Genomic DNA, 25,669 nt, shown 5'->3' with positions numbered 1-25,669 from the left:
GTGCATGGTGTGCCCGTGACAGACGTTTCCAGAAGGCAGCATGTTTGAGGGCTGGAGTCTGGCATCGGGGCCTGCCTGGAGTCTCCTGAGGGCTCAGCTGGCCTCCCTCTGGCCTCCTGGCCTTCTCCCTCCAGCCTGGACAGGGGCTCTGAGCTGTGACCCCAGCTCTTGTAGAACAAGGAGGTCCGTGTCCTCGTTCCCTGGAGAATATTGAGACCAGACTGTTGTGGTTTTTTGAGAGTATGCCGCTCCTCAAACTCCCTGATCTCTCGTGGGCATGTCTGAACTTGGGCCCCAACCTCACCCAGGGGTGAGTGACTGACAAGCAGCCTGGGCTTCGGAGGAAGAGAGCCCATCCCACCAGGGCAAGACCTCCGTCCTGCCGGTACTTCCCACAGCATCTCCCGGAGCCCGTGATTAAACGAATGGAAATGCCAACAAGATTCGACATGCGGCTGGGGGGAAGCCTCCCTCTCCCGACAATGTGCACACAGCACCCTCTGCTCTCATCCACAGCACCCTCTGCTCTCACCCACAGCACCCTGTGCTCTCACCCACAGCACCCTCTGCTCTCACCCGGGGCTGAGGCGAGGCCTTGCCCAATCCCGTGCCAGGGCCATGTGGAACTTTCCACACCTCACACCGGAGAAACGCGCCCCCAGGAGCAGTCCCCAGACGTGTGTCTGCAGGACTGCGAGGCCCAGGGCCACCGCTGCTATCCTGCCTGCACCTGCCCGCAGCGGCTGAGCCCGTCTGCAGCACCCACTCTGTGCTTAGCGCCACATGGGGGCCTTGCAGATGCATGTCCCTCCACACGCCCAGGTGACTTCAGATGACTCCAGGGTAGCCTGGTGCCCCCCGGGCCTCCACGGACCCACATTTGAGCCGCCCACTGTGGCCTGGTGCAAGGGCCTCGCCCCACCCTCTCCTCAACCCTCACTGCCTTCCACCTGCTAACCGCCCCGGAGTCCACTCACGGTGCCGCCGCCTCCTCCCCCAGACCCTTCTCCACGTCCCTCAGCTTCTGCCCCCTGCCTCCCGGATCCCGCTCAAAGCCCACCTCCCCTGAGAGGCCTCCTCCAGAGGGCTGGCCCACCAGCCCCTCCCTTCCAGGTTGTGGCGAGGGGCAGCCTGGACCCTGAGTGTCTGCGGGAGGCCCCAGTGGGGTATCCAGGCTGTATCCCCATCAGGCCCTGTGCTGCTGCCTATGAGAGGCAGGTGGCCAACAGGATGCACAGACTTTATTTAACCACCTGGAAACGGGCTGGTCCAGGCCCTCCCACCCAGAATGCCGAGTGCCCGGGAAGACGAGGGGGAAGGCACAGCTCACACACGCTTCTCTCCCCTCTCCGAACCCTGCTGCCAGCACCCCAGAGCCCAACCCAGGTGTCAGCCCTGACATCCTGTGTCCTTGCACACATGCCCCTGCCCATCTGTCTGCCCATCCATCCACCTGTCCTGCAGATGTGAATCAGGCGCCACCTGTAACAGCCTCCTGCTGTGCTGGAGACACTGACAGATGCTTAGCAGGGCTTCCTGGACACCTTCCAGCACACATTAGTGGCTGAGCCGAGAATGGGTGGCTGAGCCGAGAACTTGAATTATGACACGTGCAGTGCAGGGTACAGGGAGGGGGAGGCAGTCACGGGGCGTGCCACCTCCGATGGCCCTCGGTGATAAGCGGACATTGGAGCAGGAGCCCAAAGGTGGAGAAGGCGGTCCAGGACGGCTGTGGGGGGCCATCGAGGCAGAGGGCAGAGGCCCCAGAGCCAGAGAGACAGCAGCATGCTTGCTCAGGAATCACCCAGCCCCGCTCTGCCTGTCCCCTCCCCAGTTAGTGGGCTCAGGAGTGACGGATGGTCCCGCCCAGTGCACTGGCCTTGGTCAGCTCCTGCAAAGGCAGGTCTCCTCTTCACACCCATTTCCTAGGCTTGACATCCTAGCACCCTCCCAGGTGCAGGAAGATGGCAGCCGGCACGAGACACGACCCCGGCCCTCCATGCTGACGACAGTAAACAAACCAGCCAGCAAGCGTGCAGGGGCTTGGGATCAAAAGTGGTCTCAGAAACACAGAGCCAGGCACAGGGGCCAGGGCTGGCGTCCAGGCAAGGACGGGCTCGGGAAAAGGTGAAGGCGGGCCTGCAGGAAGGGAAAGATCTGCCCCAGGTATTGGGTGGGCCTGGGGGTGTTTCCAGGCTGGGGACCAGCAGGGCAGAGAGCCTGCAGCCAGAGGAAGGGCCGAGGGCCTGTGCAGGGAGAGACGGAGCCCAGGGGGATAGCGGGAGAGGTGGTCGGAGCTGAGCAGAGACGCCCGGGGCTGCAAAGCGCTCCCTCTGGCTCCGGTGTTGAGAACACAGGGCGGGCGTCAGCAAAGGCAGCAATTGTGAGATGTATCTGAGCAGTGGGTGCGAGGTGGGCCGCGGGTGCGACGTGGGCCGCGGGTGCGAGGTGGGCCCCGCAGGGGCCCCAGGCACATTTGCAGGCAGGATTCACAGGACCTCAGGCATGGAGAGTGCCTCCAGGGCTCTGGCCTGAGCAAAGGCGAGAGTGGATTTCCTGCTGGCTGAGACACGGCACCATCCCCTCTCAGGGGAAGATAAGTTTAGTTTGGGTTTAGCAAGTTGAGGTCCTATTAGGCTGGTGACTGGGGGGAGGTCCAATGGGGGACAGAACAAAGGAGACAGAAATAGCAGCTGGCCGAGGGTGGCAGGGGGGCCGGAGGCGGGCGTGCACTAGGCACAGCAGGCGGGTGAGTGGGGTGGCTCCTCTGATCCCTGGATCTCCAGTTAGGACAACTGGTCCCTCCCCTGGCCCCACATGGCTTGAGCCCCACCGCTGCTCGGGGTCTTTCATGACACAAGGCCTGGAGAGGATGCTGAGGGCTCCCTTGGCCATGCTCAGCAATCCCATGAGCCATTCCCAGTTGGGCCCTGCCCTCTCCAAACCGTGGGAACTCAGCAGCCTCTGGGTTGCCAAGCCCCAGTCCCTTTTCTGTTCTCCCAGCCAGCCTCTCGTGCCTCCTGGCCTCCCAGGCTGCCCCTCTGCATCTCCCCCTCTGCTTGGTGTCTCGGATGTCGTAGTGCCCAGTGCTCAGCTCCAGCCGCTGTCTCTCCCTGCCTCCGTGCAGATCCCCCAGAGCCCTGACTGTAAGTGCCCATGTGCAGGACTCCCTAGAGGTCGTCTCCACAGCCTGCCTGCCCACACCAGCAACTGAGTGTCCACATGGCCGCTCCTGCCAGTGTGGCCCCAACTCCTTACCCACCTCACATCCAGACCCTGCCGGCCTTTCCTGCCTTGGGGAGCAGCAGAGCCTCCTGCAAGGGTGCAAATGGAACCTCAGCATCTTTCTGGAATCCTCCCCTGCTCTTCCTCTAAGGTCACCTTCAAACTCCACCCTAAGCCTGACCACCACCCACCACCTCCTCTGATGCACACAGGACTGAGCCACCAGGTGGTCACACTTTTCAGGCCCCAGGACCACTGGAAACCCCTCCCTCATGGGGCTTTGGGAACTGCTCGCTCGTCGTCCTCCTCCCTGCATGCGGCTCCTTCTCAGCTATGCAATGGCTGCCGGGCATCTCCAACACAGCCACGGCCGACCGCGGCGTTTTCACCCCTGCTCTGCTGCAGTTCTACCAATCTCAGGGCAGAAAACTTGGGGTCTCCCCCACCCCTTCCCTCATATCCAGCCCATCAGCAAATCTTGCCCAGAATCCCACGGTGTGGTACCACCTGACCGGCGGGGCTGCCCCATTCCCTGGATCGTCCCAGCCTGCAGGCGGCTCCTGGCCTTGGCCCTGCCCCCCTGTGGTCTATCCCCAGCACTGCAGCCGGGGGCCCTCCCAGAACGTCTGCCAGCTGCGTCCCTTGGTTCCGTAGCCCCACGTACAGAGTAGGTGCCTAGTAACTGCAGCTTGCTGCACTGATTGGCTTCCCCCCGCCCCAGGGCCCTGTCCTGGAGGCCCATCCTGCCCAGAGGTTTCACTTTCTGCAGGAACAGAGTGGACACTGGCTCCATGGGGCGCACGGGAGTGGGGGTGTCCAAAGCTCCAGATCCGTCCGTGCTGCTCCTCAGCACAGGGGTGGCCACGTTCCCGCAACGCATGGATGCCCACCATGCGGAGGGGCAGGGTGGGAACAGGCCAGGCCCAAGGGTGCACAGCCCAGGCCCTGCGGCGAGACAGGCTCCAGCCCCTCCATAGAGAGGGCGCAGGAGAGCTAGGGGTGTCTCCCATCACCCTGGCTAACCTCCTGAGACCCTAAAGCTGAAGAACAGCGGCCCCAGGAGGAAGTGGGGGGCAAGGGGCCATGAACTGGACATTTGGGAAGTCAGGGAGACTCCTGGGTGTTGGTAGACAGCACCCAGCTCCGACGTCTCCAGCGCTCAGCCTCTTCTAGAGGGGCCCCACTCATCCAGCCATCGGCTCCTTCCTTGCTACAGGCAGAAGTGGGTAATGTCTCTGTGTCCACCTCGGGGTTGGGCATTGATCAACCCCAGTCCGTGGGAGCCGCAGACTCAGAACGTGGCCTTGTTTGGCCAGAGCCACCACAGGATTATCCAGTCCCCCATGTGGAAGGACAGTGTGGGAAGCAAGTGAAGAGCATGGCTGGGATTGCGGGAGGAGGGGCTGAGGCTGCATGGCTGGGATTGCAGGAGGAGGGGCTGAGGCTGCAGGGCTGGGATTGCGGGAGGAGGGGCTGAAGATGCATGGGTGGGATTGCAGGAGGAGGGGCTGAGGCTGCATGGCTGGGATTGCAGGAGGAGGGGCTGAGGCTGCATGGGTGGGATTGTGGGAGGAAGGGTCTGAGGCTGCATGGCTGGGATTGCAGGAGGAGGGGCTGAGGCTGCATGGCTGGGATTGCGGGAGGAGGGGCTGAGGCTGCATGGCTGGGATTGCAGGAGGAGGGGCTGAGGCTGCATGGGTGGGATTGCGGGAGGAGGGGCTGAGGCTGCATGGGTGGGATTGCGGGAGGAGGGGCTGAGGCTGCAGGGCTGGGATTGCGGGAGGAGGGGCTGAGGCTGCATGGCTGGGATTGCGGGAGGAGGGGCTGAGGCTGCATGGCTGGGATTGCGGGAGGAGGGGCTGAGGCTGCAGGGCTGGGATTGCGGGAGGAGGGGCTGAGGCTGCATGGCTGGGATTGCGGGAGGAGGGGCTGAGGCTGCATGGCTGGGATTGCGGGAGGAGGGGCTGAGGCTGCAGGGCTGGGATTGCGGGAGGAGGGGCTGAGGCTGCATGGCTGGGATTGCGGGAGGAGGGGCGGAGGCTGCATGGGTGGGATTGCGGGAGGAGGGGGCTGAGGCTGCATGGCTGGGATTGCGGGAGGAGGGGCTGAGGCTGCATGGGTGGGATTGTGGGAGGAGGGGGCTGAGGCTGCAGGGCTGGGATTGCGGGAGGAGGGGCTGAGGCTGCATGGGTGGGATTGCGGGAGGAGGGGGCTGAGGCTGCAGGGCTGGGATTGCGGGAGGAGGGGCTGAGGCTGCATGGCTGGGATTGCGGGAGGAGGGGCTGAGAATGCAGGGCTGGGATTGCGGGAGGAGGGGCTGAGGCTGCATGGCTGGGATTGCGGGAGGAGGGGCTGAGGCTGCATGGCTGGGATTGCGGGAGGAGGGGCTGAGGCTGCAGGGCTGGGATTGCGGGAGGAGGGGCTGAGGCTGCATGGCTGGGATTGCGGGAGGAGGGGGCTGAGGCTGCAGGGCTGGGATTGCGGGAGGAGGGGCGGAGGCTGCATGGGTGGGATTGTGGGAGGAGGAGCTGAGGCTGCATGGCTGGGATTGCGGGAGGAGGGGCTGAGGCTGCAGGGCTGGGATTGCGGGAGGAGGGGCTGAGGCTGCATGGGTGGGATTGTGGGAGGAGGAGCTGAGGCTGCAGGGCTGGGATTGCAGGAGGAGGGGCTAAGGCTGCATGGGTGGGATTGTGGGAGGAGGGGCTGAGGCGGCAGCTCTCCAGGCCAGGCCCCCCTGCGTCCCCATCTGCAGCAAGTAACCAGTGGCTCCCATTGGGCCCCGCAGCCGAGCAGCTACGGTGAACACCGTCCTCATCATAGAGGAGACTGAGGCTCAGAGAGCGGCGTCACTGACCAAAGACTCAGCTGGCAGATGCCAGAGAGACAGACCCCAAGCCCACACCTGGAACCCTGTGCCAGGCTGGGGGCAATTGGCGGGCCCAGCTGGGGGCTCAGACAGTGTCCTGCAACCCAGGGGCCTCTTCCCAGGGCCAGGCTGGCCCAGCGGGCTCCGGAGCAGCTACTGTGCTTTGATAGGAATAACCAGGGCCTCACAAAGCCACCAACTCCAATACAACTCTATTCGCTCACTTTGGGTTTAAAACCCTTTGGGCCAAATACCACTTTCTCTCTCAAAATACGTTCCTGCAGTAAGATGAGGTCATGAATACTCTCTCTGGCACAGAAACAGGGAAACTGAGTCACCACTCCGCCCATTAGGATGGCCCAGCCTAGCCCACCTCCCCCCGAGAGGGAAGAGGTGCTGGAGACATGGCTGGCTCTGGGCACTGCCTCCACCTGCTCCTGGCACTCAGCCTAACACACAAAACGTGCCCAGTTAACACTTGCTGATGGGATGAATGAATGGACAAATGAACGAACGAACCACAGTAATCCTTGGTGTAAAAAGAAACAGTGATGGCACAGCTGGCCATTGCTGACGCCCAGGGCACCGGGCAGCAGCAGCCGAGTGGACACCAGCAGCTCCTGCAGGCAGTGAGGGTCTGCAGGCCAGGGCAGCAGGGCTCCACCTCCCCACCCCTCCCGGGAATGGCGTCTGCGCAACCACATACTCAACCTTGGTGGAGTCCCCCGAGAGGGTGAGTCACATGGTGACATCTGCTCCATTCAAGGGAAAAGATTGTACTAGAGTCCCCCAGGTCCCCAGGCTTCTCGGCTGGCCAGGCAGCGACACTGGCCTCTCCACCCGAGGCTTCTGGATCCACCTCGGGTTCCAGGCGGTCCAGCAGCCGGGAGATAGCCCCTCCCAGCTCACACACCTCCTGGGAGAGTCTGGGGGTACAAGGCAGCCCCCCAGGAGCCCCAGGCCTGCTGTGCGTTTCTAATAGCAACGTGTTGGTGGATACATGTATCAATGCACAAGTGGGTGACAGCCAGACAAGGGAGAGAGGGACACCCCATGCCTGATGTAGCCGTTCCACGCTCTGGGCTACAGTCCCAGCACTGGGTTTCAGATAAAAAGATCACGCAGGCGTGTGGAGAGGCCATGGTGCCGCCAGACTCGAGTGCATGGACCCAGCATCTGGGCAGGCTGTGGGGCTGGGTCACCCACACCCTCACCCACCCTCTGGGCCACACACACACACTGCCTCTCTTCTCAAAGCCTTGCCTGGGAACACACAGCTACAGGCACAGACATCCATGTATCCATCGCAACACACATACGGACACACGTGAGCACCTACCCACCCAAATCACACAATCACACCTGCAGTACCAATCTGCTCACACGTACACACACCACAACACACAGGCAAACACGTGTACATACACACACACCAGCCTGTACACACACCCATAACATACACACACACATCTGCACATATCCTCGCCTGCGTATTGCATGCACATCCACGCTTAGACACACACATGCACGCACACCAATACCCACCCGCCACATGCACATTGATGTGCACGCTCACACACATCGCTGTCACACACACCCTGGTCACACTGCCTGGGGAGCCCACGGCTCCAAAGGCCTCCGTCCCCAGATCTTTGGGCCTCTACATCCCAGTGCCAGCAGAGCTTCGGGGCACTTGGACTCTGCCTATCTGCCCGCTGCCCCCTGCCCATGGCTGAGTTTCCCGTGTGGCACAGGTACCCATGGTCCCAGCTGTCTGCTTCCCTGGGAGGAGGAACGGCCCCACGTGGAGCAGCTGTGCCGAGCCTTCCACCTTCTCAATTAGCAGCTGGTGCCTGCCTGGCCCCCAGGGACCTGGCAAGTCTGGAAGTGAGGCCAGGTCCCCAGGGCTCAGGCTGCAGGGGCCAACCACAAGCTGCAGACCCTTCCCTCCCCTCTTCCAAGCCAGCAGCCCACTGCAGGGGGCGGGTGGCGCAAGAGGCCTCAAGCCCAGTTTGCCACAGGTCCTGGCCCTGGAGCTCAGACCCACACCGAGAAGAGCCCGTGGGGCTGACAAGAAGCACCGTCTGCCACTGCTGTCAAATGAGCAAATTCCCTGATGAGGGCGGGGGCAGCTTCACACCCAAGCCCAGGAGCAAAGATGACTTCTAGGGTGCACTGAGCTCCTGGCAGCTGGGGCAGGGCAGGGCAGCTCGGAAACTCTGAGCCTGGACCAAGCCGCCAGCCCCAAAGCCAAGGAGCATCAGAGACCCCCGAGCACGAGGCAGAAACACCAGCAGCCCCATCGGCATGGACCCGGCCTCCTCTCCCTGGCTGCGGGTCCCTGCCCAGCAGGTGGGCACAGGCTGTTGGAGCCCGAATCTGCTTGCCTCCATGCCTGGGACCTGCCTCTAGCCCCTCAACGCCTCCCTTCCTACCTCTGCTCACCCCAACTGGCAGCAGACTCCAGGCCAGGAAGGCAGGCAGAAGGATGCCCCTCTGAACCCTACACTGCAGCAAAATCCCCCGCAAAGTCCCCGAAGAGATCCTATGAATGGCGCGTCACACCTACCGTGGCGAGGTGCCGTGCGGGGTCACCGACGTACAGCATGGTAGGCGCCGGGGGGTCTGCACACGCCAGGGAACTGGTGTCCCGTGGGACGAGGCATGGATCTGGGCGGCCCGAGGGGAAGGGTCACGGTCGTGGCCGCCCGGCAGCGTGGACCGAGCGGGAGAGGCTCCGCAGCTAGTGAGGCAGGAGCCGAGGATGCTGGGGAACATGCGGGCCGTTTGTTGGCATTTTCGCTTTTCCCATCTCCCTTAGTTCTGTCAACTGGCTGAATCCAACAACAAAACCCGCGGCCCACCCCTTTATTCCTCATGAGTATTCATCCAAGTCCGGGGCAGGCCTCAGCTTGCCCGGTGATGTGTTGGACCGCACCAAGGAGGCTGCGTGGGGAGGGCGGGGACGCCGGTCAGCGCCGGCTCCATAATTAAACCCACCAGGGCTCCTTCCGAGATGCTGCCTGCCTGGGGAAGGCTCGGGGGGCCCCAGGCCCTCACCCCGTAAAGCAGCCTCTGTTCCCAGGCATGAGGGCTGAGCCCCGGCCCTGGAGATCATGGTAGGCAAGGCTGGGCCACCCCAAGGGGGAGAGATGGTGTCGCCTCCCTTGGCACCCAGGTGGGGCGCACCTGCCCCCTGCGCGGGGAACTCGGTGGTCCGCCAGGACCAGTCCAAGGGCTGCATGGAGAGGAGGGGCTCACAGGAGGTTCGACCCTAGACCCCCGAGGGAGACAGGTGACGGGAGTGAGCAGCTCTTGTGGGGCCTGCCTTCCACTGCCTGCCCAAAGCAGGGGTGAGTCCAAGAGCCCAGAGCCGTGCGTTTGGAGCCCACCCTGGCACTGGCCAAGCCCCCAGGAAACAGGGACAAGCCACTGTTGCCAAAGAACAGCCCGGCAGTGGGGCCCCCTGCAGGCGTGGACGGCCTTGGCACAGCCAGGGAGGGGCTCTGCAGTGGTGCCCCGCACCCGTCTAGTGGGGCCTTTGAGGTGACTGCCACTCCCTGTTGGGCCGTCTGAATTTCCATTGTATTTCAGCCGTCTTGGGTACAAAGTTGACCCTGGCAGAGGGGCCCGAGTCCCCCTGGAAGCAGGCAGGGCATCTATGCTCAGACAAACCTGGGGACTGGGGCCTGCGGACCCACACTTCCAGTCCCCAGGGCGCCGTGGCTCTCACGAGGGCTGAGAAATCCATGGGGAGCTGAGAAATCCATGCGGAGACCCTTTCCCCTTTCCTTCCAACCTTTTCCTGCCAAATCCCAAACCACCTGCCTGCTTTCTCTTGTCTCCATCTCCCCAGCTTCCTTCCTCCCTGTCGTCCCCACCGAGAGCCGGCAGGGGCCTCATCGCTCCCCACCCCCACCCCCGGGAGAGCGGGCAGAGCTGGGTGAGGGCAGGGGAGGTTTGGACTGCAGCTGCCTGAGGAGCCCTGGGGACCCGCCCTGCCCCACCAGCAGGCCGGGCTGAGGACGAAAGGACGATTCCAGGTGTTGTGCCCCAAGGGGCTGGGGCCTGGAGAGCCCAGCTCAGGGCCCTAGGGCCGGGAGGCAGCAGGTGAGTCCTGGACGCCCGTCTCTTCCTGTGGCAGAGGATCTCAGCCCCCAACAGGAAGGGCAGCAGCACTCAGGAGGAGACGACTGAGAAAAAGACAGTTTTGTCTGGTAGATCAGGTTCAGGAAGGGCGTCTCTGGGAAGCCCCCTGCAGGGGGTCGGCTGGGGCCCAGACTGGATGTTCTGGGGAAAGCAGCAGCCTCCTTGCAGGAGAGCCCAGGGCGAGCACTAGGAGACTCCTGCTGGGATCGGGGATGCCCTGGGGATGAGGGTGCCTTCTGCTTCTGAGCCTGGGACCCCTCTTGGGTTGGGGGCGGGCTCCCCAGGGATGGACAGACCCTCAGAGCAGGGCCGAGGCGGGGCCTGGGTTCCGCTCCCGACCCCCACAGGGCACATCCTCAGCCTCTGTAGGCGGTGTCCTCTCCTGCCAAAGGGAATGATGCATTGAAAAGGAGACTCAGGCGAGTCCCATGCACAGGGCCGGCCTGATGGTTTTATAAATAGCCAAAAGGAGAGCGCCAAGTGGAAGGACGTGAGGAAGGAAGACAGCCAGGCTGCCTTCAGCACGAGCCCCACCCATGCCCAGGGCACCGTGCCTGAGACCCCGCATCTCTCCACCCTTAGCATCTGGGCCAGGCTGCGGGGATCCCAGTGCGGCTGAGCTACACGTTTCCAACTCAAAAGCACCCAAAACCACTGGCCTCTGCCCCAGAGCGGCACCCAGCTTTCTGCAAACGTTCCCAAGGCCCAGCCTTGCAGAGGACAGGGACAGGGGATCTGGGGCCACACCCCCTTGGCGTGGCCCTTAGCGCCTCCTCCAGGTTCCCTCCCTGCTGGGTCCTCCATTCTGCTTTCATTCTGCTTCTGACTCACCGGGGATTCCGCCTGACTTTCCGCAGGACCCTGGGCCGCAGGACAGGGGGGAACGACGCTGCCGCAGGCCACGGCACTCTTCAGGAACCAGTTAGTGGGAGGGGTTATGTGCCAGAACAGACAGGGGGACTTCGTTTCCTGGTGCCAGTGATGTGTCAGTTCAAGGCCAAACTCATGGCACAGGGTCCCTGCTGGGCAGCTGGCTTCATCCCACCGCATGGAAGAGGCCGCAGAAGCTGCAAGGCTCTGAGACCTGGGTGCTGGGTGGGGTTCACTTCTGTGCAGCCCCAAAGTGCTTTGTCACGAAAGCCCACCAAAGGAAAGGCTGAGTGGGGGCTCTCTGGGAGGGGGTAACGGGTGGGCTGGAGTCTCAGAGCTGACCGTGGTGAGCTGAGCCCCCTCCCTGCTCCCACGCATGACCCCACCCTTCCTCCAGCTACAGATCCTCCCTGGAAGGGAGGGGTGTCCTTCTCCCTCTGTCCGCCTGCCCTTTCCTGGGGGCCACACATGCACGGGACCTGCGCCCTTCCTTCTCCTGGGCCTGGGGAGAATACCTCTCCCTGAAGTCACCAAGGCCTATCTGGGGTGACCTCTAGGGTCTCAAGCCCCCAAGTGTCCGAAGGTTCTGACCCCGGGTGTCTGTCCTGCCACTGGGTTCCCGGGGCTCCCAGGGTAGATCAGCCTGCCTTCTGCCCCACCAGCTGTAGACCCCGCTCTGTGGCCCACCTGCCCACAACACCTGTTGTCAGAGAAAGGCGCCAGGAGAGGCAGGAAGGGGCACAGGGGAGGGGCCAGCCCTGGAGGAGGCTCTAGGGACAGAGAGGGGAGGGGAGAGGACGGGAGCGGAGCAGAGTGGAGGGGAGGGGAGGGAGGAGACACTTGCCTCTCTCTCCTTTTCTCCCCTCCTGTGTCCTCCCTCCTTGTGGAGCATCCTGAGAGCCAGCAAGGGCCGCAGGTCTCATTGCCCTGCGCTGGTTTTGTCCGAGGGGACGCTAGCGCTCAGAGGGGCAGGGATTCGCTTCCAAGCCCAGGCCCAGCACTGCAGAGACTCCTCGGGTGGGTCCGGGTGAGGATAGGACCCCCGCCCCACCATCACACCCACACTGCCTCCTCGCAGCCTGCGAGCCTACGAGGGAGCTTTATCCTCTGCAGCTCTTCCCAGACGGTGTGGGGGTGGCCAGGGCAGACCCCACCCAGGTGGCATCCAGAAGCCCGTCAAGCCTTCCTCATTCAGGGAACCAGCCAGGGTCCTGAGAGGGCAGGGGCTGGGCCAGTTTTAGCTGTGGCTCCTCGGCCCACCCTCCCCAGCCCATGGGGAGGCCCGGGCCACAGGCTTCCCCCTGCTCTCCTCTTGCAGAACGGGGCCCTATTTTAGAGTGAGGTCCCTGTGAGCCATGTAGGGTCTTCAGGGACAGCCAGAGCCTAAGGCACGGGACAGCTCAGGCAGGAACTGTGCCAGGCAAAGGCAGCAGGCCCTGGTCCCAGATCCTATCCTAGGCCCTCCTGGCTCTGCTGTTCTGGTGTCCGAGGAGCAGCTTTCTTAAACACAGGGCCTCCTCCCTGCCCTCACCCTCACACCTAGCGTTTGTCACATACTCCCGATGGGCCCGGCACCACTGGACATCCTCACATCGTGGGTGACTTGGAGCCTCTCAGTAGCGCCATTTATAGACAGGAAACTGAGGCCCAGAGGGCTATGTAATTCTTTAAAAGTTGCCCAGCTCAGAAGGGAAGGGGTAGGTCCTGAGCTCAGCAAACCTGGCCTCGGAGCCCCCAGCCACACCCACCTCGGCCTGCTGGACTTTCTGGGCCACCTCAGTCAGATGGCCACAGTGACCACGGGGTCTGTTTCCTGCTATGGCCACACAGAGCTCACAGTCTCCCCAATAAGTCTGTGGCCTGGGACTCCTCTAGAGCCCACTGAGGGTTCAACTGCTCTTGCCCACACCCCACTCTCCTGAACTGCCTAAACTCAGCCTCCTCTGCAGGGGCCAGTGTGGCAGGAGGGTTGTCCGAGGCCCACGGGGTTGGGCAGAGCCAGCACCCAGCACCTGGCATCCCAGAGTCTATGCCACCTCCCAAAGGGCTCTCTGCTCTGGGCTCCTACCCCCTGTCACCCCAGCTTCACCAGCAAGGACATGGAGGCTCAGAGAATTGTGGGAGCTTGAAACCACCTGCTCCGCCTGTCTCCCACGGCTGCTAAGCAGGTGGCTAAGGCATCCCTCAGACACCCTGTGTCCAACGGGAACCAATCTGCCTGCTCGTGGTTCGGGGAGACCCACGTCCCCCAGATGCGGAAGGCACGCCCCACTGCAGAGGACCAGTGTCCTGCGCTCAAGCACTGTGCCTGCCCGAGCTGAGGCCCCTTTGCTGGATGAGTCCCAGACCCGCCCCTGAGTATGGGAGCAGCCAGATGCCACCAACACCCAGGGACAGGTGGCCAGAGGGAGCCGCCAGGGGCAGGTGGGGGCAGGTGCGTGTGCAGCCACTTCCACAAGCAGGCCCCCCACCTGAGCCACGAACTCAGGACTATCGGTAGCCCCGGAAACATCCGGCACTAGAACCGCCTGTCTGACCCGAGGCCGGGCCTGTGTGGTGTTTCTTGTCCAAGGTCACCAGCCTCGTGGTGGGGCTAGAACTGGGCCCCTGAGCTGCAGGTGGCAGTTTTCCAGGGGGCACTCAGAGCCCCCCATGCCCGCATCCGCACTGAACCGGGTCCAGGTCCCCAGCCCCAGCACAGCAGCTTCCCTGAGCTCCTGGGCTGAACTTTAAAACAATGCCCCCCAGTTCAGCTCCAGCCCCACTCTGGGACCCCTGGAGTTAGCGGGCCAGGGGCCATTCTCAAGGCAGCTAAGCCCTGGGCCCTGTGCCAGGCTGCCCGAGCCCACCCGTTGGCGCCCTTCGGAGTCTCTGTCTTTGTACCTGGCGCTCCCATGGGAGTCAGGGGTAGGGGACAGCATGCTCTTGGCCCAGCAGCCACTGTTGTGAGGGGGCTGGGCCCTGGGGTCAGAATGAGGCTTGGCTCTCCCCACGCAGGCCTGGGCCTGCCTTCATTCCAGGGAATCCCCCATCTCCGTGAGTCGAGCTGTGCACCTAGGAATTTCATACATGGCTTTGGGAGGAGGCGTGTCGCTGCCAGACAGATCCAGCCACCTTGCTGTTTGCGGAGGTTCGAGGCTCCCACTGTCACCCTGTGGCTGGGGAGTGGCACGTTCCAGCAGGCGGGGGCTCGGACCAGACCCCGATATGGAGCTCAGGGAACCCTCCGGGGCTGGGGAGGACAAGCACGCTCCACCCACTCAGGAATGTAGAACTGCTCCTTCTGCCTCCCTGAGTCCAGGTCCTCCTCCCGACACAGGGTGGGTCTGTGCCATCTTAGGGGCCTTCTGCCCTCTGCAGGGGGAGTGGCTGAGCAACTTGGGGTTGGGAGGTGGCTTCTGGATCTCAGGGGACAATCTTATGGGTCTTCCTCCCTCCCTCCCTGGGGTCCAGCGGCCAGTTCCTGCCCCTCCCCAGATTGGAGGACACGGATGTCCAGAAGGGGACCTGGAGGGGGTGGGGTCAGGACCCTTGTCCCCAGAGAGCAGCCGGCAGAACTGTTCCAAAGCGAGAGAGGGGAGAGGTTGCAGTCTCACTTTCTTGCACTACCCGGCCCCATCCCCAGCCCACCCTTTCCCAGCATCTGCCTCGGTTTCCTCACCCATAACACGGGACTAGAACACGCGCAGACACTGTCGAGTGTTTCCACTGGGACGGTCTCCTGAGCAGGGGTGGGAGGGCAGGGGCAGGCGGTCGAACCCTCAGATACAGGCTGAGGGGCTCCTCGGAGGAATTGACCCCCCGGGACTGTGGCTGCCCAAGGAGGTGCCTTCTCTGGCCCCACATGGCTCTGGGCCAGCCCAGCATCCGCAATGGAGACGGAACAGGCAACACGGCCCCTCCACCTCTACACTCCCCCACCCCGCTTCACTCTGTTCGTTCTGACTGGAGCCCCACAGCCCCCACTCCCTCCAGTGCTCAGGGTGGCTGGGCCGCCCACCCCCATGCCTCAGACAGTCAGTCGTGCGCAGGGGCAAGGAAGGGGCTCCAGCTCCTGGAATGGGGACTTGAGGGAGGAGGAGGGCCAGGCCGGGTGCTCTCAGGCCCCCAGAGGCCCAGCATCGCCTCCCTCCCTTTCGGGCTGAGCATAAGTGAGGGAGGCCCGACCCTGCCCCAGACGCGCTGTTCCGCGTATCCCCACAGTTCGGGCTGGTTTTCCGCAGCGCAAACAAATTCCCCACCTACGAATCCCTGGGCGGCGGAGGCGGGGCGGGGCAGCCAGCCTGTGGGCGGGGCCGAGCAGCTGACGAGTCCAGCGGGGACGGCTGGCCTCGCTGGGCCTCCCAGGTCGGGATCTTTGCTCTCTCCTCACGTGTGGTGCCCACCTGCCATCCACCTCCCGGCACAGTCGAGGCCTGGCTATGGGCAGCCAGAGAGGTAGGCAGGAGCGTGGCCCCCACCAGCTCCCACAGCCTGGCCTTTTCCCCCAGAGGAGCAGCCAATGGGGCAGGGCTTGAGACTCCCAGGAATGGGGGAGCCTGCCAAGATGGGGTGCCGGAGGCCTCACTGGCCCTGCCTGCCCCCTATCCAGTCCTCTTCTCCTGGAAACAGCACCTCCATCTTCCTTTGGGGGTCCCTGTGTGGGGAGGCCCACCCCACTCCATTCCATTGTCACCCTGTTCCACTGATGGTGGAGGCCAGGCCAATCAGAGGCACAGATGTGGCTCAGAGATGGGCCCATGACCACATTCAGATCAACGGGAGGCAGGACTGCTGGACTATGGGAAAAGAGGGATCTCCTCTCCACAGGGATAGGGCATGCTGGTGGAGCCTGGTACTCTTCACCATGAGAGGAGATGCGGCCTAAAAACAAAGTCACTGCAGGGGAAAGCAGACCAAGAGACTGAGCGAGGCAGCTGTGAAGCACCTGGACACAGCCATGCCCAAAGCCCTTTCTATACCTGGATCCACCAGTAGAAGCCCTTCCTACACCTGGACCCACCCATGTCCAAAGCCCTTCCTACATCTGGATCTAGCTGTGCCTGAAGCCCTTCCTACACCTGGATCTAGCCATGCCTGAAGCCCTTCCTACACCTGGATCCAGCCATGCCTGAATCCATTCCTATCTCTGGATTGACAGTTACATGAGCTGATACATTTTCTCCTTTGCAATTTGAAGTGTCCTCAGAAACCCACAGGGGAAGCTGTACAACCAAGAGGCTATCTCCTGGTTCTGCCAGGCTCCCAAGACAGGACAGGCCACATTTGTTGTCCCCACTCCAGTCCTCTTGCAGAGGGCAGCCCCCCCACTCACCATGACAGATGTAGTCATGCCCTCCAGGTGGAAGACGTCCATGCTGGAATCCGTTCCGCCCACCACCTCATTATTCCCCCGGCTTGACTGGGGAAGGTCGAAGTAGGTGCTGTCTGGTTCCCTGGGGCAGGGAGAGGAAAATAGAAGCGTCAGTCCCCAGTTTGGGTGTCACCCCAATACCTCCCAGGCCCAGAGCTCAAGGCTAGCCTGAGACTCCTGGTGAGGCCTACGTCTCCTGCCCTTCCCATTCCCTCTCATCCCATCTCTGTCCTCCACCTGCCATTCCAGGGCTGCTGTGAGTGCCAGAGAGGCAGAGCCAGTCATGGGCTCTGTTATTCTGGGCCTCTGCTGGCCATGGGCCCTCTCCAGAGCTGGCCAGAGAAAAGAGTCTGAATTTTGGTCCTGCATCCCCAGGGAAGGCCTAGGGCAGCAGTCCCTCTTCCCTGCCCCTCCGACCCGCCCTGTCCCCAAGCTGATGAGGGTGGCTAAGGCTAGCCCAAGACTAGTGTGGAGCCACCTCTCCTGCTCTGGTCCAGTTAGTGCAGCAAGGGTGGTCGAGGCTAGCCCAGAATCCCAGTGAGGGTTGCCAAGTTTAGCCCAAAGTCTCAGTGAGGGTGGCTGGGGCTAGCCCAGAGTCCTCCCGGGGCCACCCCTCCTGCTCTGGCCCAGTTAGCCCAGCGAAGGTGGCTGAGGCTAGCCCAGAGTGCCTCCCAGGGGGGCCCCCAGCTCTGGCCAGCCAAGCGCACTCACAGAGAGCTCCAGAGGTGCTCAAACGTGGTGCCCCCATCAGGGGAGGTGGCGGTGGACTGGGCCATCTTCCCCACGCCGGCCTCCGAGGGCAGCTCGCTCTGCAGGAAGGAAGGAATGACACCTGAGCACCCTGGGAACTCGTGCTCTGTCCTCCTGTGACAGCCTCGGTGGGGGCGGCAGGCAAGTGGGCCTGCCTGGGGCATCCCTGGAGCAGGTGCCCCCGCCTTGCCCTCCCTGTGCCCTCTCCACTGTCATTTCGTCCACCCTGTTCCCCGCGGCTGGAAACCGAAGGCCAGGTGGGCAGCTCTGCCTTGGAGGTGGCGGGCCTGGATCAGACCCATCCGTGGGGGTGCCCTGGGCAGGCAGGAGCTTCTCAGAGCCGTCGCCTTGGAAGAGGGGGTGACAGCAACACCCGCTCCTGGGGCTGCCTTGAGGGCCTTCAGGAGAGCAGACTCTTTGAGATGCTTGGGCCGGGACAAGCGTGTGAGGCCTGTGGTCTGTTATGATCCACTGTGTCTAGGTTTGGCCTGGGGGATGCTTGGGCCGGAACAAGTGTGTGAGGCCTGTGGTCTGTTACGATCCCCTGTGTCTGGGTTTGGCCTGGGGGATGCAGCCAGGTTTGGGGTCTCCCTGATGCCCGGGACCTGGAGGTGGCTCCGGTCCCGGTCACCCCATCTTGGGAACAGCGTGTGTGAGGGCTGCGCTGGAGGCTGCAGCCAAGCCCCCGGCTAGAGCCTAGCTGTGCCCACTGCTGCAGGACACAGACGCCCCCTCGCCTTCTGAGCTGGGGCTCCTTCCTGCACCCCAGGGCCACAGGGAAGCCTGGCAAGGCTGGGAACTTGAAGCTGCCCTGTCCTGCAGCCGGCCACTGCCTGGGTGGTCACGCCTTGAGAAGGAGACACCCAGGGATTGGAGAGCTCTGACCCCAGCGCCCGTCCGCTGGTCTTTGTCTCCACCATTGCTCCCCTGAGAACCCCTGGGCCCAGCTCCCAGTGGCCCTGGACACCCATGAGGAGGTGGCAGTGTCCAGGCAGAGCACAGCTGGGGGAGGGGACAGGGAAACCCGAGCCCACCCTGCCCACAGCCCCCAGCCCCGGCTGAGGTGACCTCTCCCCTGGGCCAGCCTCCCAGGTCCTCGGTGAGGTGCTATGGGACAGGCTTGGCCACCGCCCTGCAATGCTCAGGCAGGCAGGCCTGGACCTGCCCACGGCCAGCGGGGGTGCAGGCCATGGCCTGGAACCTGTCGTTTTTGTCCTTCCCCAGGCAGGCGGGAGCTGATAGAAGCCTGTGGCTGCCACGTGCCGGGCCCTGGAGAAGTGGCACAGGCCAGGCTGAGGGGCGGTCCGTGAGCCATGATGGCCTGGGACAAGCAGCTTAGAGGGTGCTGGCCCAAGCCACCTCTCCCAGGTGGGCGTGACCGCTCCATCCACTTTTCAGGAGCCCCAAGGCTCAGAGGGGTTAAGTGACTTGTGTGAGGTCACACGGCTGTAAGTGCTGGTGATGAATGCTCCAGGGGCTCTTAGAATTAGAAGTTAATTTGGTTGCCCTGCCCCACCCCACTTCACCATCACGTGGCCAGGTGGGTGTGCCCTTGCAGGCCTCCGATCCTGGGCTGGGCTAAAACCCCAGTGGAGCTGAGGGTGTGCATGGGGACCGCACCATTCCGTTAATTTAAAATGGGAGAGTGTGACAGGAAGCAGAACCGCAGGTCCAGCTGAGGCTGGCACAGGGCCCCGGGGGAGAGCAGAACCCGCCCTTGCCCATACCCCACGGTGGGTCCCTTTGGGCTGAGCAGTATGAGTAGGGTAGCCTCTTGGTGCAGGTATGTGGGCCAAGGCTGGGTGGGCACAAGTGAGGGGTCCCAGGCATGTTTCCTGAAGGGCAGGAGCACTGGAGGGGCTGGACTCGGAGGAAAGAAATTCCCTTAGATCCAAGAGGACAAGCCTGGGAAGGTTTTGCCGCCAGAGGCCTCTGGGTCGCATCCCCTTCATTTTGTAGATGGGCCACCTGAGTCCAGAGATGGAAATGGACTTGCCATCCACAGCAGGTGGATGACAAAATCCCAGCTCCCTTCACAGCAGCACCATTCCTGGTAGCTGAACGGTGCACATAGCCCAGACGCCCATCAGCAGAGGGCCGGGCACAGGAGATGTGGTGCCAGCAAGCAATGGAACATTACGCGGCCATGAAAAGGAACGAAGCTCTGACATGCTACAGCGTGGGTGAGACCTGAAAACCTCATGCTCAGGACACATGACCTCATCTGTCAGCCTGTGAGCTGTCCCCTCCCAAGGCTAAGGTGGGACAAAGACAGAGAGAGACAGAGACAGAGAGACAGAGAGAAACAAGGACAAAGAGAGACAGAGACATAGAGACAGGGATAGAGACAGGAAGAGAGAGACAGAGAGAGAGAGACAAGGACAAAGAAAGAGAAAGACAGGAAGAGAGACAGAGAGACAGGGACAAAGAGAGAGACAAAGAGAGACAGAAAGAGACAGGGAAAGAGATAGAGAGAGACAGGAAGAGAGACAGAGAGACGGAGAGAGACAAAGGCAGAGAGAGACAGGGACAAAGAGAGACAGAGAGATACAAGGACAAAGAGAGACAGAGACAGAGACAGAGAGACAGGGACAAAGAGAGACAAAACAGAGAGACAAGGACAAAGAGAGACGGAGAGAGACAAAGGCAGAGAGAGACAGGGACAAAGAGAGACGGAGAGAGACAAAGGCAGAGAGAGACAGGGACAAAGAGAGACAGAGAGATACAAGGACAAAGAGAGAGAGAGACAGAGACAGAGAGACAGGGACAAAGAGAGACAAAACAGAGAGACAAGGACAAAGAGAGACAGAGAGTGAGAGAGACAGAGACAGGGAGAGACAAGGACAAAGAGAGACAGAGAGATGGAGAGAGACAGAGACAGAGAGACAGGGAGAGAGACAGAGAGAGATGGAGAGAGACAGGGAGACAGAGACAGACAGAGACAGACAGAGAAACAGAGGGAAAGAGAGAGGGACAGGGAGACAGACAGCGTGGGAGCCGACGGCATCCCGCCGCACCCCTACTGGAGGTCCAGGGGTTCCGTGAACAGGTGTGCACGGGGCATCCCTCCGCGCAGGGCTCAGGGCTCACAGGAACTGGTCGGCAAAACATGATTTGTGATCTTATGCCTGGGACATGGGCGTTGGCTGTATTTTCAAGTCGGCATCCTGTGAACTCCCCCTGAAGCGACACCCTCTCTTCCCACTGAACCCTGAATGAGGAACAGCGACCCTTCTTGTCAGCGCGCCTCTGCCTGCCGGAGACCCAGCTTCCACATCCCCTGACCGGCACCCACTGTGCACTGCAGGACACCAGCTTGGCCTCTCATCCCTGCCTGGGCACAGGACAGAGGCCAGCGAGCGTGGTCGTGGGTCCCCGATCCCACCCGTCCGGCCCTCCAGGCTCACAGGACAGGCCACCACCAGGAGCATGTGGGGTGGGAAAGGGGCTTCCTCCACGCCAGGAGTTGGGTCCCCAAACATCCCCAGGCCTGTTTGCCTGAGATGTGGGCAGTGGGCCTCCAGGTGCAGGCGTGTGGACCAGCCGGAAGCCCTGGGCAGATGCATCTTCCAGGACACCCCTCCCCACAGTGGGGCTGGGGCAGGGCCCAGGAATCTGCCCCTTTAACAAGCCTCCAGGGGAGTCATGAAGAGCCTGGGACAGGCCCCCTGAGGAGGACACTGTCATGAGGGCCAGCCTTGCCACTGCTCGGGGCCCTGCTGCAGCCACCGGCCTCCCCCATGGGAATCGGGTTCCTCATTAGCCAAAACCAGGACCCGGAAACCTGCCCAGACTTAAAGCACACGGAGGAACTTGAACCGGAAGCCACGAGATGCCTGATTCCCAACTTCCTGGGAAAACGCCAACGCTGGTAGCATTGGTCCCAGGGCCCCACAGGAACACTGCTCACAGGCACAGGCGCCAGGCAGGGGCTCCCCCAACCGGCCTCACACACCTGAGCTGATGACTGGCTCCGCAGGCATCTGGGAGTACTGGGCATGAGGAACAGGAAGCTCTGTTGGGGGTGCAGGGACGCTGCGCTGGGGCAGGGGGAGTATGTGCCCTCTGCCCACAGCCGCCTTTCAGGCAAGGATCCCAGTGGCGAGAAAAATAAGTCAATTCTAATAAAATGGCCTTTCAATTAAATCCAATTTTCCCAACCATTTGCCTTTTAATTTGAAAATTCGTTCACAAGGGGATCACGGTTCTGGGACAAAACAGAAATTGCTTTTGAAACGTTGCCAATAGTTTTAAAAATCATGTGTATCAATGGGGAAAGGAGACCAATTTCATAAGACATCTTTAGGAAGTTTTATCAACATCATAAAATGCAAATACATTATTGGAAGTGTAGGTTTTTCTAAGAAGATTTAGTCTAGGAGGGATGGGCTGGGTGCAGTGGTTCATAACTGTAATCCCAACACTTTAGGAGGCCAAGGAGGGAGGATTACTTGAGCCCAAGGGCTTGAGACCAGCCTGGGCAACACAGGGAGACCTCAGCTCTCCAAAAACTTAAAAAAATATTAGCTGGGCATGAGGGCGTGATGGCATGTGCCTGCAGTCCAAACCACGCAGGGTGCTGAGGTGGGAGAATCACTTGAGCCCAGGGGCTCGAGGCTGCAGTGAGCCATGATTGCACCACTGCACTCCAGTCTGGGCAACAGAGCTAGACCACAACTCTAAAAAAAAAAAAAAAAAAAAGGGAAGGAAGGAAATGAAATAAATGAGTTCTCAGTTGTAACAGGGGCGTCCAGTGTGTATTACCACAGGTCTTGCAGTGGAAGGCTTTGTGTGGCCACAGCATTTGGGGGTGGTCATTGGGGAGCTGCTGGCCGGCACCCCCCCAGCCCTGGCACCATCAAGTCAGGGCACAGAGTTGCAAAGGACAGTTGTGCTGGGTGTTCCTGGTTACGCTGTAGCCAGGCTGTAGGCTGCTGGCACACCCAGGAAGCAGGGCACCTCGACCCTGCCCCAACTTCCATGAGGCCTCAGACAAGTCCCCTCCCTTTGCCAGGCTGGAAAGGTGACCAGCGTTCCAAGTCCTACAGTGCCCACAGCAGTGGGAGCAGGACAAAGACCAGCCACCGAGGGCCCTCCGGCAAACCCAGACCTCAGCCTGCTTGGATCCTCAACTCCAGGGGCCGCTGTACCAGCTGCACCACAGGGAGAGCCCCCACACACGTGTGACTCAGAACAGGAAAGGAACTCACACCAGCAATTAGGCCCCCACAGCTTCCCCGGGACCCACGGAGCACAGGTGGGCTGGGGAGGGGACTGTGTGGCCCAGAAAACCAGCCTGCCCAAGCTCCCTGGAGCTGAAAACAAGGCTCTCTGATGACTTCTCGGTTTGACTCAGGGCCTTCTGAGGTCTCAGCCTAGGGGTTCTCACCAGGGGCAGTTCCACCCCCAGAGGATATTCCCATGTGGGGACATTTTCCACGGGGTCAGAGGGTGCTGTGGAATCTAGTGTGCAAGACAGGGATGCTGCTTAGCACCCTACGTTGCTCAGGGCAGCTGCCCACAGCAGAACGCACGCCCAGCTGTCGGGGCCGTGGCGGAGAGGGGGTGCTGTGCCATGGCTCCGAGCTGAGGCTGGCCAGGCACTTTGCAGGGCCTCAGGCTCACACGCCAACCCTGCCCCAGTTCAGAGATGAGCAAGTGGAGGCCAGGAGGCCCAGTGGCTGGCCCAAAGCTACTGAGGGCTGAGGAGCTGGGACTCCAGCCAAGCCCAGGTCCTCTGATGGCCTGGCCGCACCCGAATGCTCCCCTCTGCCCTGTGGGGAGGAGTCCGCAGCCGGTGAGGGGCTCTCAGCCTCTCTCATCTCACCCTGCCCAACCCCTCTGGCCTCGTCTTCCATAGCTTCCCACGAAAGCCACAGCCCCCTGTCCCCCTGCCCTGTCCCAAGCATTCCCTCCCTGTCCCCAAGCATCCCCTCCCTGTCCCCTGTTCCTCTGTCCTCTCCCTGTCCCCCTGTCTCCCTGTCCCCCATAGGTTCCTTCCCTGTCCCCTTTCCCTTTGTCCCCTAGCCCCCCATCTTCTATCCCCTCCCTGTCTGCATCCCTCTGTCCCCTCCCCATCTCCTGTTTCTCTGTCCCCTCCCTGTCCCTTGTCCCCATAGATCCCTGCCCTATCCCCATGGGTCCCCTCCCTGTTCCCTGTCCCTTTGACCTCTCCTTCTCCCATCCTCTGTCCCCGTCCTAGCTCCTGTTTCTGTGTCCCCTCCCTGTCCCCGTCCTCCTGTCCCCTCCTTGTCCCCCATCCTCTGTCCCTCCCCGTCTCCTGTCCCTCTGTCCTCTCCCTATCTCTTGTCCCCATGGGTGCCCTCCTTGTCCCCTGTCCCCAGTCCCCACATGCCTGGCTATGTGCTCTCTGTGTTCAGCCTTTGTCTACCACCCCCTTCCTGCCCTCCCATCTCATCCCTATCTCTCCAGGCCAGGCCAGGACCCAGCCTCCTCTAGGAACCCCGTCTCCGGCTGACGCCCCATCCTCTCCCCTCACCACCTGACAGGAGGTGGGAGACCAGACATTTCCTTGGCCATGGGCCCACAGGTAAGGCCTCGTCAGTTCCCCAACCCCTTCCACCTCTGCCCAGGCCTGGGGCAGACAGGGCTCCACAACCACCTTTGATAAGCCAGGACACTCCACCCCGACTGAGCCCACTCTGGAAGAGGCACTCCCCATGGGGACACCCACTCCCACCTGCAGGGGCCCTGGCCGCAGGGCTGCTGTTACCTACCCACCCCTCGGTGGAGCTCTGAGACCGAGCCGTCCGCACTCAGCCTGGGCAGGAGACACAGGCCCCTCTGCCCCGTCTGGCCCAGCCATCCCGGACACTGGCTCTTAAGGGGGATCACAGGAGGGGTGCAGGGTGTCCTCCTCCATTCAGGGAGGAGGGAAAAGCCCCCAGGAACTCCACCCGCCCCGGGCCACCCCTAAAGCAAACATCTCAATGCACTTCTGATTCCGGTGGTTCCCAAACCACCAATGATTTTACCTGTTATTTCAGCAGATCAACGATTCCAATCTGAAGTGGCAAAGAAACCTGGGGCCATTGTGGGAGGAGACACCTGGGCCATTGTGGGAGGAGACACCTGGGCCATTGTGGGAGGAGACACCTGGGCCATTGTGGGAGGAGACACCTGGGCCATTGTGGGAGGAGACACCTGGGCCATTGTGGGAGGAGACACCTGGGCCATTGTGGGAGGAGACACCTGGGCCATTGTGGGAGGAGACACCTGGGCCATTGTGGGAGGAGACACCTGGGCCATTGTGGGAGGAGACACCTGGGCCATTGTGGGAGGAGACACCTGGGCCATTGTGGGAGGAGACACCTGGGCCATTGTGGGAGGAGACACCTGGGCCATTGTGGGAGGAGACACCTGGGCCATTGTGGGAGGAGACCGTCTCAATCCCCTTGTGCCCTTTTCCCAGGGACTCAGGCAGGTCCCAGGACCCAGAACCCAGAAGAGCCCCCGCCTGGGCAGAGGGGTCGGGCGGTCAGCGCACCAGAATGAAGCCAGGCAGGCTGGCCCTGTGTGAGACAGCGGCTCTCCCAGGCAGCAGCCCAGCGGAATTCCTGCAGGGCGTCATCAGAGCCCAGCCTCCTGGGGCCCTCTGTGCCAAGGGGCCTCACTCTCCCCTCCAGCCACCGCAAGAAGAGGGGCCGCTCTCGCTTGGCAGGCTGGGGCCAAGGACAGGGGTCCCCCGGAGTGAGGGCCAGGAGGGCCTCCCTCTCAGGGGCAAGGCCCTCTGCCAGCATTGCCTGCCCCTCCCGACAGAGGCTAAGGACCATGTGGCCTCCCTCTGTGGGTACGATGGGGCCAGGTCCTTCAGACAGGGTTGCCAGGACGGCTTCGTCAGCAGGTCAGGGGCAGGGACGAAGGCCTGTCCGCAGGGCCTGGTGAGGAGGATGCGGCTGAGAGCCCCCCTCACCGCCACAGATGGCACGCCTGCTGCCCCACTCCCCTAGTTTGGGGAAGCCCAGCATGGGGATGAAAGACAAACACAGCCTCCCACGGTGGGGTAGCGTGCACCGTGTGAAATATGCGGACAGCTGGAGGTGCCTGAGCAAGCTGCCCTCTCTCTCCTGGGCCGTGGCCCACGGGAAGCGGGAGGGGAGGGGAGGCAGATGCCCAGGACAGTCTGGGGGAATCCCTGAGCCTCACCCCAGAAGCTTTGAGGCCATGACCAAACCAAAATGCCCGACCCCCCGTGGGTGGGGGTGCCCCCAACCAGCTTCCTGGGTCAGTTCACACTCAGCCAAGTGAAATGTAGAAACACCAAAGCATGGCTAATTCCCGGGGATTCCAGCCACCCCACGACGGCCCAGTGAGGCCACACACCTGTTACCAACCAGGAGACATGCACAGAGAGGGAAGACCAGCCCTCCATGGGCACACAGCTGGTCAGGGTGGAGGTCGAACCCAGCAGCCTGGCTCTACCCTGGCCTGACCTG

The 25,669-nt window shown here is 62.1% G+C and overlaps 1 protein-coding gene across 15 annotated transcripts in view, besides 5 other annotated features; it reads right to left on the bottom strand.

The window, feature by feature from the left end:
- The window catches only part of TP73 (tumor protein p73), an 83,686-nt gene that overhangs the window by 36,597 nt on the left and 21,420 nt on the right, over window positions 1-25,669 (bottom strand). For 7 of the 15 annotated variants that reach the window (NM_005427.4, NM_001204184.2, NM_001204185.2 and 4 more), the window contains exons 2-3: window positions 17,175-17,272; window positions 16,425-16,545 (exon numbers count right to left, since the gene is read on the bottom strand). In NM_005427.4, coding sequence (NP_005418.1) covers window positions 16,425-16,545; window positions 17,175-17,239 — 186 coding nt within the window. In that variant the 5' untranslated portion in view covers window positions 17,240-17,272. Of the gene's footprint in view, window positions 1-1,453; window positions 1,560-8,660; window positions 8,934-16,424; window positions 16,546-17,174; window positions 17,273-24,208; window positions 24,280-25,669 lie in introns of those variants that run through there. The other 8 variants (NM_001126240.3, NM_001126241.3, NM_001126242.3 and 5 more) reach the window with 3 other exon arrangements.
- Window positions 9,551-10,072: an enhancer, noted in NCBI's record as "H3K27ac-H3K4me1 hESC enhancer chr1:3606097-3606618 (GRCh37/hg19 assembly coordinates)". NCBI's record gives its function as "activates a minimal SCP1, AML or CMV promoter by ChIP-STARR-seq in primed H9 embryonic stem cells {active_cell/tissue: H9 hESC(primed)}" and the evidence as "EXISTENCE:reporter gene assay evidence [ECO:0000049][PMID:30033119]".
- Window positions 10,073-10,594: an enhancer, noted in NCBI's record as "H3K27ac-H3K4me1 hESC enhancer chr1:3605575-3606096 (GRCh37/hg19 assembly coordinates)". NCBI's record gives its function as "activates a minimal SCP1, AML or CMV promoter by ChIP-STARR-seq in primed H9 embryonic stem cells {active_cell/tissue: H9 hESC(primed)}" and the evidence as "EXISTENCE:reporter gene assay evidence [ECO:0000049][PMID:30033119]".
- Window positions 15,280-16,040: an enhancer, noted in NCBI's record as "H3K4me1 hESC enhancer chr1:3600129-3600889 (GRCh37/hg19 assembly coordinates)". NCBI's record gives its function as "activates a minimal SCP1, AML or CMV promoter by ChIP-STARR-seq in primed H9 embryonic stem cells {active_cell/tissue: H9 hESC(primed)}" and the evidence as "EXISTENCE:reporter gene assay evidence [ECO:0000049][PMID:30033119]".
- Window positions 18,181-18,916: an enhancer, noted in NCBI's record as "H3K27ac-H3K4me1 hESC enhancer chr1:3597253-3597988 (GRCh37/hg19 assembly coordinates)". NCBI's record gives its function as "activates a minimal SCP1, AML or CMV promoter by ChIP-STARR-seq in naive H9 embryonic stem cells {active_cell/tissue: H9 hESC(naive)}" and the evidence as "EXISTENCE:reporter gene assay evidence [ECO:0000049][PMID:30033119]".
- Window positions 19,206-19,373: a silencer, noted in NCBI's record as "fragment chr1:3596796-3596963 (GRCh37/hg19 assembly coordinates)". NCBI's record gives its function as "represses an EF-1alpha promoter that drives an FKBP-Casp9 reporter gene in an ReSE screen in HepG2 liver carcinoma cells {active_cell/tissue: HepG2}" and the evidence as "EXISTENCE:reporter gene assay evidence [ECO:0000049][PMID:32094911]".

Source organism: Homo sapiens, chromosome 1 (assembly GCF_000001405.40).
Source record: "Homo sapiens chromosome 1, GRCh38.p14 Primary Assembly".
NCBI lineage: Eukaryota > Metazoa > Chordata > Mammalia > Primates > Hominidae > Homo > Homo sapiens.
The sequence above is the reverse complement of the archived record's forward strand: the minus strand, read 5'-3'. Positions and strand labels throughout refer to the sequence as shown.